This window comes from Homo sapiens, chromosome 21 (assembly GCF_000001405.40).
Source record: "Homo sapiens chromosome 21, GRCh38.p14 Primary Assembly".
NCBI classification, from domain to species: Eukaryota; Metazoa; Chordata; class Mammalia; order Primates; family Hominidae; genus Homo; species Homo sapiens.
Window position 1 is genome coordinate 10,648,791 of NC_000021.9, and position 15,216 is coordinate 10,664,006.

At 39.9% G+C, this 15,216-nt stretch overlaps 1 pseudogene, besides 3 other annotated features; it reads right to left on the minus strand.

The window, feature by feature from the left end:
- IGHV1OR21-1 (immunoglobulin heavy variable 1/OR21-1 (non-functional)) lies at positions 600-1,045 on the minus strand (annotated as a pseudogene).
- Positions 7,262-8,180: an enhancer, noted in NCBI's record as "OCT4-NANOG hESC enhancer chr21:10855487-10856405 (GRCh37/hg19 assembly coordinates)". NCBI's record gives its function as "activates a minimal SCP1, AML or CMV promoter by ChIP-STARR-seq in primed H9 embryonic stem cells {active_cell/tissue: H9 hESC(primed)}" and the evidence as "EXISTENCE:reporter gene assay evidence [ECO:0000049][PMID:30033119]".
- Positions 8,603-9,107: an enhancer, noted in NCBI's record as "OCT4-NANOG hESC enhancer chr21:10854560-10855064 (GRCh37/hg19 assembly coordinates)". NCBI's record gives its function as "activates a minimal SCP1, AML or CMV promoter by ChIP-STARR-seq in naive and primed H9 embryonic stem cells {active_cell/tissue: H9 hESC(naive and primed)}" and the evidence as "EXISTENCE:reporter gene assay evidence [ECO:0000049][PMID:30033119]".
- Positions 9,323-10,262: an enhancer, noted in NCBI's record as "OCT4-NANOG hESC enhancer chr21:10853405-10854344 (GRCh37/hg19 assembly coordinates)". NCBI's record gives its function as "activates a minimal SCP1, AML or CMV promoter by ChIP-STARR-seq in naive H9 embryonic stem cells {active_cell/tissue: H9 hESC(naive)}" and the evidence as "EXISTENCE:reporter gene assay evidence [ECO:0000049][PMID:30033119]".

Below are 15,216 nucleotides of genomic sequence, written 5' to 3' on the forward strand. Positions count from 1 at the left end.
ATATACTCATTGATATGATTTTATTGATATGGTTTGACTGTATCCCCACCCAAATCTCTTCTTGAGTTTTAATAATTCCAATGTGTTAAGGGTGGGGTCAGGTGGATGTAATTGAATCATGGGGGCGGTTTCCCCCATACTGTTCTCGTGGTAGTGAATATGTCTCATGAGATCTGACAGTTTTATAAACAGGAGTTCCCCTGGCACAAGGTCTCTCTTGCCTGCTGCCATGTAAGACATCAGTTTACTCTTTCTTCATCTTCTTCCATGATTATGAGACCACCCCAGCCATGTGGAATTATGATTCCATTAAACCACTTTTCTTTATAAATTATTCCATCTCAGGTACGTCTTTATTAGCAGCATGATAATGGACTAATACAGGGCCTTTACTAATCTTTGAATTTTCTGTATACGGTGACTCTTGAATAAAATATTTATCATAAAATTAGAGTGTGTCCTTGTTTCTATTGATCCTTGTCCTCAGTTACTTGACCCATTTTCTAAACAACTTTAAACCTCATCTTCCCTGTCATCTCCTCTGCAGGAACACAGCTGCCTCCTCCCTGCAGTTTCTGAAACTCTCAAGATGTGGGTTTTCACATTGTGTCTCTCACACAGTAATACATGGCCGTGTCCTCAGATCTCAGACTGCTTAGCTCCATGTAGGCTGTGCTCATGGATGTGTCCCTGGTTATGGTGACTCTGGCCTGGAACTTCTGTGCATAGCTTGTGCTGCCATCACTAGGGCACACCAATCCCATCCACTCAAGCCCTTGTGCATGGACCTGGTGCACCCAGTGCATACAGTAGCTGGTGATGGTGTATCCAGAAGCCTTGCAGGAGACCTTCACTGAGGCCCCAGGCTTCTTCACCTCAGCCCCAGACTGCACCAGCTGTACCTGGGACTGGGCACCTGTGGAGAGGACACAGGAGTGGATAAAACCCTCTTTTACTGGACCCAGTCACCTTAGTCCTGGGGACTGAGAATTATCCTACCCGCAGCTATGACCACCAAAAACAGGATCCTCCAATTCCAGTCCATGGTAAGGAGCTGTGCTCTCAGGGGCTTCTCTAGAGGACATGGCTGGTTATTGGGTAATGCTCTCAGGGCACAGACATATCTGTAGTGTTCATCTCAGGTGATTTGCATATTCACGAGAACTACTACTTCATAGCCTTACACTTGATCCAGCATGAGAAAGAGAAAATAGATCTCACATGAACCACACAACTGTGGGATGCTGAGGTACAAGTCCTCATTCTTATTTAAAGTCGTGTTTCCCTTTATATGCCCAGAACTTTGTGAAGGGAGAACTTCTCCACTAAGAAGGTGACTCACACAGGACATGGCACATGGACAGCCTCCACCCTTTCGGGGTTTTGCTGTCTGCAGTCTTACTCTTGGGATCTATGTGTCTTCTGAAATGTGTACCTTTTGATTTAATAAAACCATCCCTGTTCTTCATTTTTTACTAGGAAAATACCTCAAACCGCTAACAATTTTGCCTTTTAAATGTGGTTCTCACTGAATTGTTGATTTATTTATTTCTAAATGTATAGAGATAATAGAAATAGTCTTTGCAAAATTCTAATTTTAACATGTTATAATTTTTTGGTTTTCAATAAAACAACACTCAGTTCTCAGAGAAATCCCCGCTGCAGCCTCATGTGCACCAGCTCTGGGGCTGGAGCCTGTTCTGGGTGGGTCCTGGGCGCCCTCTGCAGCACTGTCTCTGCTCTGCATGGAGGTTTCCATCTGGGCTCACAGAGGATTTATCTCTCAGTGTTTCTAGGGCTATAGGAAGAGGTCATGCCCTAGTTTAAAATGCTCCTTCAGTGACACCATATGTTACTGACACAATCTTTTGAAAACATTGACCTTAGAAGACCCAGTGAACTCTAAGAAACCATCAGGGAGCCCTTCCCTGGAGCTCAGGATGCATTTAATTAGTGGACACATAGTGAGCACAAAAATTTTGAAGGGTTTTGGGGGATGCTCTATCTTGTTTGGTCTTCTGCAATTGAATATTACATCTAAGAATACCTGTAGGCATATATACTTGTGGATCAATGCCCACTCCATGTCTTCTTTTTCAATAACACACACACACACACACACACACACACACACACACAGAACTAGTTGATTTGTACAACAGTGGGCCTCTAACTTGCCATTTTTTCTAGTATCTTGCAAATGGGGAGCACCCCCTACATGGATACTAGACCTGAGTATATGACTTCCTTCTCCAAACAGAAGTAACGAAAACAGTACACAATTGGAGACGTAGCAAGTGTACATTCATCATGTTTGTATATTTTCACCTGAGAATACTGGAGTTTCCCTAAGAGAAGTGACTCTGTGTCCATCAAGGGTTGAGTGACCCCGTTCATCAAGCTGTTGGTGTCAGAAGCTTCCAGTTGCTCTACTGTCCTTCACTTTTTTTCTCCCAGTGTCTTTGCATTTCCCTATGTTTTTCTCTGTATATAGAGTCTCTGCTTTGCCACACTCATCTTCAATGTAGATTAATTATGCTGATGAGAAGGTAATGTGTGAGGATTGTATATATTTTCTTTTCTTACAACTATAGGATTTTTCATTCAGTTAAGAGGTAAACAGATTAACATTGGAGGCTATTCCATTTAACTAGCCCAAGTTCCTATTTCACTTTATATATCCCTCCCACACTGCCGTACGTCTCGAAGAAATGACTGCCAGAAGACTTTGCTTCTAAATTCTTAGCAATAACTTTCAATGAATTGCTTTCAAATAAGTTATTCCTAACTTAAAATTTTATTGTGTTCAAAGAAACTCGTCCTTCTAACAGGCTTCCACATATGCCGATAGAACGTTCCACCACTGACAGGAGGGCAGAGTACCAATGATTCTAATTACAGGAGCTACTCCAAGGAAAGCCTCAGTGATATTTGCGTTTGAGTCCGTCCATTCCATTCGAGTACATTCTATTCCATTCTATTCCATTCGATTCCATTTCATCTGATTTCATTCCGGTCCACTCCATTGCATTGCATTCCATTCCATTCCAGTCCATTCCATTCCATTCCATTCCATTTCATTCTATTCCATTCCATTCCACTCGAGTCCATTCCAAACCATTCCATTCGAGTCTTTTGCATATCATTCCATTCCATTCGAATTCATTGCATACCATTTGAGTCCATTCCATTCAATTACATTCCATTCCATTCGAGTTCATTAAATTCGATTCCATTCCACTCGAGTCCATTCGAGTCCAACCCATTCCATTCGATTCCATTCCATTCTATGCCATTCAAGTCCATTCCATTGCATTCCATTCGAGTCCATTCCATTCCACTCGAGTCCATTCCATTCAATTTGTATCCATTCCATTCAATTTGAATCCAATGCATTCCATTCCATTCCATTCGAGTCCATTCCATTCCACTCGAGTCCATTCCATTCAATTTGTATCCATTCCATTCCATTTGAATCCATTGCATTCCATTCCATTCCATTTGAGTCCATTCCATTCGATTCCATTAGAGACCATTCCCTTCCATTCCATTCAATTCGAAACCTGTCCATTCCATTCCATTCGAGTCCATTCCGATCCATTCCATTCGAGTCCATTCCATTCCATTGAACTCCATTCCATTCGAGTCCATTGAGTTCCATTCCATTCCATTCGAGTCCTTTCAATTCCATTCCATTCGAGTCCATTCCGATCCATTCCATTCGAGTCCATTCCGTTCCATTGCACTCCATTCCATTCGAGTCCTTTGAGTTCCATTCCATTCCATTCGAGTCCTTTCAATTCCATTCCATTCCATTCCATTCAATTCCACTCGATTCGATTCCATTACATTACATTCGAGTCCATTACATTCCAATCCAATCCATTCTATTCGATTCCATTCCATTCCATGCCATTCCTTTGCATTCTACTCGAGTCATTTCCATTCCATTCCATTCCATTCTAATCCATTCCATTTCATTCGAGTCCATACCATTCCATTCCAATCGAGTCCACTCCATTCCATTCCATTCCTTTCGAGCTCATTCAAATCCACTAGTTTCCTTTCGATTCCATTCCATTCCATTCAACTCCATTTCATTCCAATACATTCCATTCCATTCGATTCCATTCCATTCCATTACATTCCATTCGATTCAAGTCAATTCAGTTCCATTCCATTCCATTTGAGTCCATTCCACTCCATTCCATTCGAGTCCATTCCAATCCATTCCATTCCATTCAAGTCCATTCCATTCTATTCCATTCGAGTCCATTCCATTGCGTTCCATTCTAGTCCATTCCATTCCATTCCATTTCATTCGTGTCCATTCAGTTCTATTGCATTTGAGTCGATTCCATTCCATTCCATTCAAATCCATTCAATTCCATTCCATTCCATTCCTGTCCATTCCATTCTATTGAATTCGAGTCCATTCCATTCCATTCTATTCGAGTCCAATCCATTCCATTCCATTCAATTCGAGTCCAATCCATTCCATTCCATTCAATTCGAGTCGATTCCATTCCATTCCATTCCATTCGAGTTCATTCCATTCAATTCCAGTCCATTCCATTTCATTCCATTCCATTTGAGTCCATTCCATTCTATTCCTTTCGAGTCCATTCCATTCCATTCCATTAGGGTCCATTCCATTAAATTCCATTCCATTCCACTCAATTACAAAGCAATCCACTGCATTCGGGTCCATTCCATTCCATTCATTCCATTGTGGTCCATTCCATTCAATTCCATTTGAGTCAATTTCATTCCATTCCTTTGGAGTCCATTCCATTGCATTCCATTCCATCACTTTCGACACCATTCAATTCCATTCCATTCAGTTTGAGTCTATTTAATTCCATTACATTCGAGTCCATTCCTTTGCATTCCACTCCATTCGAGTACATTCCATGGTATTCCATTTGAATCCATTCCATTGCATTAAATTAGATTCCATTCCATTAGTGTCCATTCCATTAAACTCCTTTCCATTCCATTCGAGTCAATTCCATTCCATTCGTGTCAGTTCCATTCCAATACCTTCGAGTCCATTACATTAAATTCCATTCTTTTCCATTCAAGTCAATTCCATTCCATTCCATTCGGGTCAATTCTAATCCATTGCACTCAATTCCAATCGAGTGCAGTCCATGCCATTCGAGTAAATTAGATTTCATTTCATTCCATTCGAGTCCCTTCTATTCCATTCCATTCCATTCGAGTCCCTTCCATTACATTCCATTACATTCGAGTCCATTCCATTCCATTCCATTCCATTCCATTCCATTCCATTCCACTCCATTCCATTCCATCTGGGGCCATTCCATTCGAGTCCATTCCATTGCATTCCATACCATTCGAGTCCATTCCATTCCATTCCATTCAACTCGAGTCGATTCCATTCTATTTCATTCCATTCATGTCCATTCCATTCCATTCGAGGCCATTCCATTTCATTCCATTCGAGTCCATTCCATTCCTTTCCATTCCATTCCATTGCATTCCTTTTGAGTCCATTCAATTCAATAGCATTCCATTCGAGTCCATAACATTCCATTCCATTCCATTCCATTTTTCCATTCCATTACATTCCATTCCATTCGATTCCATTCCTTCCCATTCGAGTCCATTTCATTACATTCCACTCCATTCCATCCTAGTACATTTCTTTCTGTTACATTCCATTGCAGTCAATTCCATTGAATTCCATTTCTTGGCATTCGAGTCCATTAAACTCCATTCCATTCAAGTCCACTCCATTCTACTCCATTATTTTCGAGTCCATTCCATTCGAATCCATTTCATTTCACTCCATTATTTTCGAGTCCATTCCATTCTATTCTATTCGAGTCCATTCCATGCCATTCCATTCGAGTCCATTTCATTCCATCCATTCTGTTCCTTTTAGGTCCATTCAATTCCATTGCATTCCGATCGAGTCCGTTCCGTTCCATGCAAGTCCATTCGATTCCATTCTATTCCATTTGAGTCCATTCCACTCTATTACTTTCGAGTCCTTTCCCTTCCATTCCATTCTATTCCTTTCAACTCCATTCCATTGTATGAATTTGTATTCCATTCCAGTCCATTCCATTCCATTCCAGTCCATGACATACGGGTCCATTTCATTTCATTCCATTCCATTCGGGTCCATTTCATTCCATTCCACACCATTCTTGTCCATTCAATTTTCTCCATTCCATTCGATTCCATTCCATTCGATTCCATTCGAGTCCTTTCAATTCCATTGCACTCGAGTCCATTCAATTCCATTCCATGCTATTCCATTCGAGTCCAATACTTTACATTCCATTCCATTCGAGTAATTTCCATTCCATTCGAGTCCATTGCCTTCAATTCCATTGGAGTCCTCTCCATTCCATTCTATTCCATTTGAGTCCTTTCCACTCCATATATTCTAGTCCATTCCATTCAAACCCCTTCCATTGGAGTCAATTCCATTCCATTCCATTCCATTCTATTCCATTCGAGTCCATTCCTTTCCATTCCATTCCATTCGAGACCGTTCCATTCCATTGGAGTCAATTCCACTCCATTCCATTGGAGTCCATTCCATTACATTCTATTCCAATTGAGTCCATTCCATTCCATTCCTTTCGAGTCCATTCCATTCTATTCAAATCCATTCCATTCCAGCCCATTCCATTCGAGTCCATTCCATTCCATTCCATTCGAATCCATTCCATTCGAGTCCATTCCATTCCATTCAATTCGAGTCATTAGATTCCACTCCATTCCATTCCATTCGAGTCCATTCCATTCCATTCCATTCCATTCCGTTCCGTTCCATTCCATTCCATTCCATTCCATTCCATTCCATTCCATTCCACTCATGTCCATTCAATTCAATTCCATTCGAGTCAATTCCATTCTATTGCATTCGAGTCCATTCCATTCTGTTCCATTCCATTAGATTCCAGTCCATTCCACTCAATTCCATTCGAGATCATTCCAAACCATTCCATTCCATACCATTCCATTCCATTCCTTTCCATTTGGGTCCATTCCATTTGAGTCCATTCCATTCCTTCTATTCCATAACATTTCATTCGAGTCCATCCCATTCCTTTCCATTCCACTCGAGTCCATTCCATTCTAAACCATTCTATTACAGTTCATTCCATTCGAGTCCATTCCATTCCCCTCCATTAGAGTCCATTCCATTAGAGTCCACTCCAGTAAAACCCATTCAATTCCATTCGTGTCTATTCCATTCCATTCCATTCTATTAAAGTCCATTCCATTCCATTCGAGTCCATTCCATTCCATTCCATTCAATACCATTCCATTCCAATCCATTCTATTCCATTCAAGTCCTTTCCATTCCATTCCATTCAATTCTATTCAGATCAATTCCATTGTTTCCATTCGAGTCCATTGCATTCCATTCGAGTCCATTGAATTCCATTCTATTCGAGTACATTCTATTCCATTTCGTTCCATTCCAGCCCTTTCCATTCCTTTCCGTTCCTTTCATGTCCATTCCATTCCATTCCACTCCATTCCATTCCATTCCACTCCATTCAATTCCATTCCACTCCATTCCATTCAATTCCATTCCATTCCATTCCATTCCATTCCATTCCATTCCATTAGAGTCGTATCCTTTCCATGCCATTCCATTAGGGTAAATTCCATTCTATTCCACTCAATTCCATTCCATTGCATTCCATTTCATTTGAGTCCACTCCTTTCCATTCCATTCAACTCGAGTCGATTTCATTTCATTCCATTCCATTCGAGTCCATTCCGTTCCATTCGAGTCCATTCCATTCCATTCCATTCCATTTAACTTGAGTCATTTCCATTAAATTCCATTCCTTTCCAGTCCATTCCATTCCATTTGACTCCATTCCATTCCATTGCATTTGAGTCCATTTCATTTCATTCCATTCCATTCCATTCCATTCAATTCCATTCCATTCGAGTCCATTCCATTGCATTCCATTCCATTCGAGTCCATACCTTTCTATTCCATTTGAGTCAATTCCATTCCATGCCTTTCGACTACATTCCATTCCACTCCATTCCATTCCATTCCACTCGAGACTGTTCCAATCCATTCCAATACATTTGAGTCCATTCTATTCCATTCGGGTCCATTCCATTCCATTCGAGTCCAATCTCTCTCATTTCATTCCATTCCTTTCAAGTCCATTCAATTCCATTCCATTCCATTTGAGTCCATTCCATTCCACTCCATTCCATTCCATTCCATTTCACTCCATTACATTCGTGTCCATTCCATTCGAGTCCATTCCATTCCATTCATGTCAACTCAATTCCATTCCATTCCATACGTTCCATTTTATGCCATTCCATTCGAATGCATTCCATTCTATTCCATTCAAATGAATTCCGTTCTATTCCATTCGAGTCCATTCCATTCCTTTCCATTCGAGTCTGTTCCATTCCGTTCCTTTCTATTCCTTTCAAGTTCATTCCTTTCAATTCCATTCCATTTGAAGGCATTCCCTTCCATTCGAGTCCATTCGAATCCTTTCCCTTCTATTTCATTTGAGCCATTCCATTCCATTCCATTAGTGCCCATTCCATCCAGTTCCATTCCACTCGAACCCATTTCATTCTGTTGAAATCCATTCAGGTCCAATCAATTCAAATCCATTCGAGTCAATTCCATTTGAGTCCATTCCATAGCATTCCATTCCGTTTCACTGAATTCCATTCCATTCCTATCGAATCAATTGCATTCAAATTCATTCGAGTCCATTGCATTCTATTCCATTCGAGTCCATCCCTTTCCATTCCATTAGGGTCCATTCCATTAAATTCCATTCCAATCCATTCGAGTCCATTCCATTCCATTCTATTCCACTCCATTCCATTCCATTCCATCCCTTTCGATTCCATTGCATTCTATTCGCGTCCATTCCGTTCCATTCCATTCCATTCGGGTCCATTCTATTCCATTCCATTTGATTCCATTCCACTCCACTGCATTTCATTCGAGTACATTCCATTCCATTTCATTCCATTCTATAGAATTCCATTCGACTCCATTCCATTCCATTCCATTCCATAGTCAACTTCATTTCCTTACATTCCATTCCAGTTGAGTCCATTCAATTCCATTCCATTCGAGTCTATTCCACTCCATTCCACACAAGTCCATTCCATTCCACACCATTCCATTCGAGTTCATTCCATTCGATTCCAATCCAGTATATTCCATTCAATTCCATTCGATTCAAGTCGATTCAAATCCATTCCACTGCATTCAAATCCATTCGATTCCATTCCATTCCATTCCATTCCATTCTAGTCAATTTCATTCCTTTACATTCCATTCCAGTCGAGTCCATTCAATTCCATTCCATTCGAGTCTATTCCACTCCATTCCATACAAGTCCATTCCATTCCAAACCATTCCATTCGAGTTCATTCCATTCTATTACAATCTAGTAGATTCCATTCAATTCCATTCGATTCAAATCCATTCGAATCCATTCCATTGAATTCAAATCCATTCAAGTCCATTCCATTCCATTCCTTTCGAGTCCATTCCATTGCATTCCATTCCATTCTTTTCGAGTCCATTCAATTCGATTCCACTCCTTTGAAGTCCATTCAATTCCATTCCATTCCATTCGAATCCATTCCATTCCATTCCATTCAAATGCGTTCCATTCCACTACATTCCATTCGAATCTATTCTATTCCATTCCGTTCGCATCCATTCCATTCGAGTCCATTCCATTGCATTCCATTCCATTCGAGTACATTCCATTCTTTTCCATGCGAGTCCATTACTTTCTATTCCATTCCATTAGATTCCATTCCATTAAATTCCATTCCATTCCTTTCGAGTCCATTCCATTCAAATCCATTCCATTCCAATCCATTCCATTCCATTCCCAACAAGTCCATTCCATTCCATTCCATTCCATTCCATTCCATTCCATTCCATTCCATTCTATTCCATTCAAGTCCATTCCATTCCATTCCATTCCATTCCATTCCATTCCATTCCATTCCATTCTGTTCCATTTCATTTCATTCCATTCCAGCACATTCCATTCCATTCGAGTCCATTCCATTTCATTCCATTCTATTGCTTTCGAGACCATTCAATTCCATTCCATTTCATTCGAGTCAATTTCATTCGATTCCATTCCATTGCATTCCATTCCATTGGCGTCCATTCCGTTCTATCCCATTTGAGTCCATTCCTTTCCATTCCATTAGATTCCATTCCATTAGAGTCCATTACATTAAATTATATTCCATTCCATTCGAGTCCATTCCATTCCAAAGGAGTATATTCCACTCCATTGTCTTTGTATCCATTCCATTCCATTACATTCTATTCCATTCATGTCGATTCCATTCCATTCCCTTTCATTCCATTAAATTTCATTACCTTACATTACGTTACATTACATTACATTACATTACATTACATTACATTACATTACATTACATTCGGGTCCTTTCTATTCCATTTCCTTCGAGTCTATTCCATTCCATTGCATTCCAATCAAGTCCATTCAATTCCATTCCATTTCATTCGATTCCATTCCATTGTATTCCCTTCGAATCCATTGCATTCCATTCCATTAGAGTCCATTCCATTAAATCACATTCTGTTCCTTTCAAGTCCATTCCATTCCACTCCAACGTACTCAAGTCATTTCAATTCCATTCGAGTCCATTCCTTTCCATTCCATTCCATTCCACTGGATTCTATTCCATTCCATTCCATTCCATTCCATTCCATTCCATTCCATTCGGGTCCATTCCATTTCATTCGATTCCACTCCGTTCCCTTCCATTCCATTCGAGTCCATTTCATTCCATTCCATTCCTTTCAGATCTATTCAATTCAACTACATTCCATTCAAATTCATTCCATTCCATTCCATTCCATTCCATTCCATTCCATTCCATTCGATTTGGGTCCATTCGATTCCATTCCATTCATGTCCATTCTATTCCATTCGAGTCCATTCCATTCCATTAATTTTGGTTTCATTCCATTCCATTCCATTCAATTCCGTTAGAGTCCATTCCATTCCATTCCATACCATTCCATTCCATTCCATTTCATTCCATTCCGTGCCTTGCAATTCCATTCGATTCCATTCCATTCGGGTCCATTCAATTCCATTCCATTAGGGTCCATTCCATTCCATTCCACTCCATTCGGGTCAATTCCATTCCGTTCCATTCCATTCGATTCCATTTCTTTCCATTCCATTCCATTAAATTCGGGTTAATTCAATTCCCTTCCATTCGAGTCCATTCCATTCCATTCCGTTCCATTCCATTCCATTCCACTCCACTCGATTCCATTCCACTTGAATCAATTCCATTCGAGTGAATTCCTTTCCATTCCATTCGTGTACATTCCACTCCGTTCCATTCAATTAGAGTTTATTCCATCCCATCCCATTTGAGTCCACTTAAATCCATCCCATTCCATTCAAGTCCATTCCATTTTAATCCATTGGAGTCCATTCCATTGCATTCCATTCCATTAGAATCCATTCCATTATATTACATTCAAGTCCATTCCATTCTGTTCCATTACAATCGTTTCCAGTCCATTCCATTCGAGTCCATTCCATTTCATTCCATTCGAGTAAATTCCATTTCATTCCATTCCATTTGAGTCAATTCCATTCCATTCCGTTGCATTCCATTCCATTCCATTCCATTCCACTGCATTCCATTCGTGTCCATTCCTTTCCCTTCCATTCGAGTCCATTCTACTTCATTCCAATCCATTCCATTCCATCCCATTTCATTCCATTTGAGTCAATTCCATTCCATTCCATTGCATTGCATTCCATTCCATTCCAATCAATTCCATTCAATTCCATTCTATTCCATTTGAGTCCATTCAATTGCATTCCATTCGAGTCCATTCCATTCCTTTCCTTTAGAGTCCATTCCAATAAATACAATTCTATTCCATTCAAGTCTGTTCTATTCCATTCCATTCCATTTGTATCCATTCTATTTCACTCGAGCCCATTGCATTCCATTCCATTCGAGGCCATTCCATTCCATTCCTTACTATTCCATTCAAGTCCATTCCATCCAATTCCATTGCATTCCATTCCATTCCATTCAATTCCTTTCCATTCCATTCCATTCCTTTTCCATTCCATTCCATTCCATTCCATTCCATTCCATTCCATTCCACTACATTCCGTTTGAATCCATTCCATTCCATTCCGTTCGAGTCCATTCCATTGGAATCCATTCCATTGCATTCCATTCCATTCGAGTCCATTCCATTCTTTTCCATTTGAGTCCATTACATTCGATTCCATTCCATTAGACTACATTCCATTAAATTCCATTCCATTCCTTTCGAGTCCATTTGATTCCATTCAAATCCATTCCATTCCATTCCCATCAATTCCATTCCATTCCATTCCATTCTATTCAATTCTAGTCCATTCCATTCCATTTCATTACATTCCGTTCCTGTACATTCTATTGCATTTTAGTCCATTCCATTTCATTCCATTCTATTCCTTTCGAGACCATTCTATTCCATTCCATTTCATTCCAGTCCATTCCATTCGATTCCATTCCATTGCCTTCCATTCCATTGGCGTCCATTCCATTCTATGGCATTCGAGTCCATTCCATTACGTTCCATTAGAGTCCATTTCATTAAATTACATTGTATTCCGTTCGAGTCCATTCTATTCAATTTCATTCCATTCGTGTCCATTCCATTCCACTCGAATCCATTCCATTCCGTTACTTTTGAGTCCATTCTACTCCATCCAATTCTATTCCAATCAAGACCATTAGATTCCCTTCCATTCCATTGAAGTCCATTCCACTCCATTCCATTCTAGTTCGTTACATTCCACTCCATTCCATTCGAGTCCATTCCTTTCTACTCCATTCGAGTCCATTCCATTATATTCCATTCCATTCCATTCCGTTCTATTCTGTTCGAGTCTGTTCCATTCCCTTCCGTTTGAGTCCACTCAATTCCTTTCGATTCCATTCCATTCCATTGCATTCAAATCCATTGAATTCCATGCTATTCCATTTGATTCCATTCCATTCCATTCCATTAGAGTCCCTTTCATTCAAAGCAATTCCATTCCATTCCATTCCATTCCATTCCATTCCATTCCATTCCATTCCATTCCATTCGTCTCCTTTCCATACCATTCCGTTCCATTTGAGATCATTCCATTCCATTCCATTCCATTCGGGTCCATTCCATTCAATGCCGTTCGTGTCAATTCCACTCAATTAGGTACGAGTCCATTCCATTGCATTCCATTCCATCGAGTCATTGCATTCCATTCCATTCGAGTCCATTCCATTGCATTCCATTCCATTCCTTTCGAGTCCATTCAATTCCATTAAATTCCATTCGAATACATTACATTCTAATCCATTCGGGTCTCTTCCATTCGAATCCATTCCATTGCATTCCATTCCATTCAAGTCGATTCCATTCTATTCCATTCGAGTCCGTTCCATTACATTACATTCCTTTAAATTCCATTCCATTAAATTCCATTCCTTTCCTTTTGAGTCCATTCCATTCCATTCAAATGCAATCCATTCCATTCCCATTGAGTCCATTCCATTCCATTCCATTCAATTCCATTCCATTCCATTCCATTCCATTCCATTCTATTCCATTCAAGTCCATTCCTTTCCATTTCATTCCAGTCCATTCCATTCCATTCCATTCCAGTCCATTCCATTCCATTTCATTCGAGTCCATTCCACTGCATTACATTCCATTCCTTTAGATACCATTCAATTCCATTCCATTTCATTTGAGTTCATTCCATTTCATTCCATTCCATTGACATCCTTTCCTTTCTATTCCATTCGATTCAATTCCATTCCATTCCATTAGAGTCCATTCCATTAAATTCCATTGGATTCCATTCGAGTCTATTCTATTCCATTTTTTTATTCATGTCCATTCCATTCCACTCAATTCCATTGCATTCCATTACTTTTGTGTCCATTCCATTCCATTCAATTCTTTTCCAATCAAGTCCATTAGATTCCTTTCCATTCCATTCAAGTCCATTCCACTCCATTCCATTCTAGTCCATTTCATTCCACTCCATTCCATACGAGTCCCTTCCATTCTACTCCTTTTGGTTCCATTCCATTCCATTGTATTCCATTTGACACCATTCCATTCCCTTCCATTCTGTTTGAGCGCACTCCATTCCTTTCAATTCCATTCCATTCCATGGCATTCGAATCCATTCAATTCCATGCTATTCCATTTGAGTCCATTCCATTCCATTCCATTAGAGTTCCTTTCATTCAAAGCAATTCCATTCCAGTCCATTCCGTTCCATTACTTTCCATCCCATTCCATTCGTCTCCATTCCATACCATTCCATTCCATTTGAGCTCATTCCATCCCATTCCAATCCATTCGTGTCCATTCCATTCAATTGCTTTCCAGTCAATTCCATTCAATGCCATACACGTCTATTCCGTTGCATTCCATTCCATCGAGCCCTTTGCATACCATTCAATTCGAATCCATTCCATTGCATTCCTTTCCATTCCTTTCGATTCCTTTCAATTCCTTTCCATTCCATTCTAATACATTACATTCTATTCCATTCGAGTCCATTCCATTCGAATCCATTTCATTGCATTCCATTCCATTTGAGTCCATTCCATACTATTCCATTCGAGTCCATTCCATTAGGTTCATTTCCTTTAGATTCCATTCCACTCCTTTCGAGTCCATTCCATTCCATTCAAATTCATTCCATTCCATTCCCATCCAGTCCATTTCATTCCATTCCATTCTATTCCATTCAAGTCCATTCCTTTCCATCTCATTACATTCCAATGAAGTCCATTCCATTCCATTGCATTCCAGTCCACTCCATTCCATTCCATTCGAGTCCATTCCATTGCATTCAATTCCATTGTCATCCATTGCATTCTATTCCATTCGAGTCCATTCCATTGCATTCCATTCCATTGTCATCCATTGCCTTCTATTCCATTAGAGTCCATTCCATTGCATTCCATTCCATTCCTTTCGAGTCCTTTCAATTCCATTAAATTCCATTCAAATACATTACATTCTAATCCATTCGAGTCCATTCCATTCGAATCCATTCTATTGCATTCCATTCCATTCAAGTCCATTCCATTCTATTCCATTCGAGTCCATTCCATTACATTCCATTCCTTTAG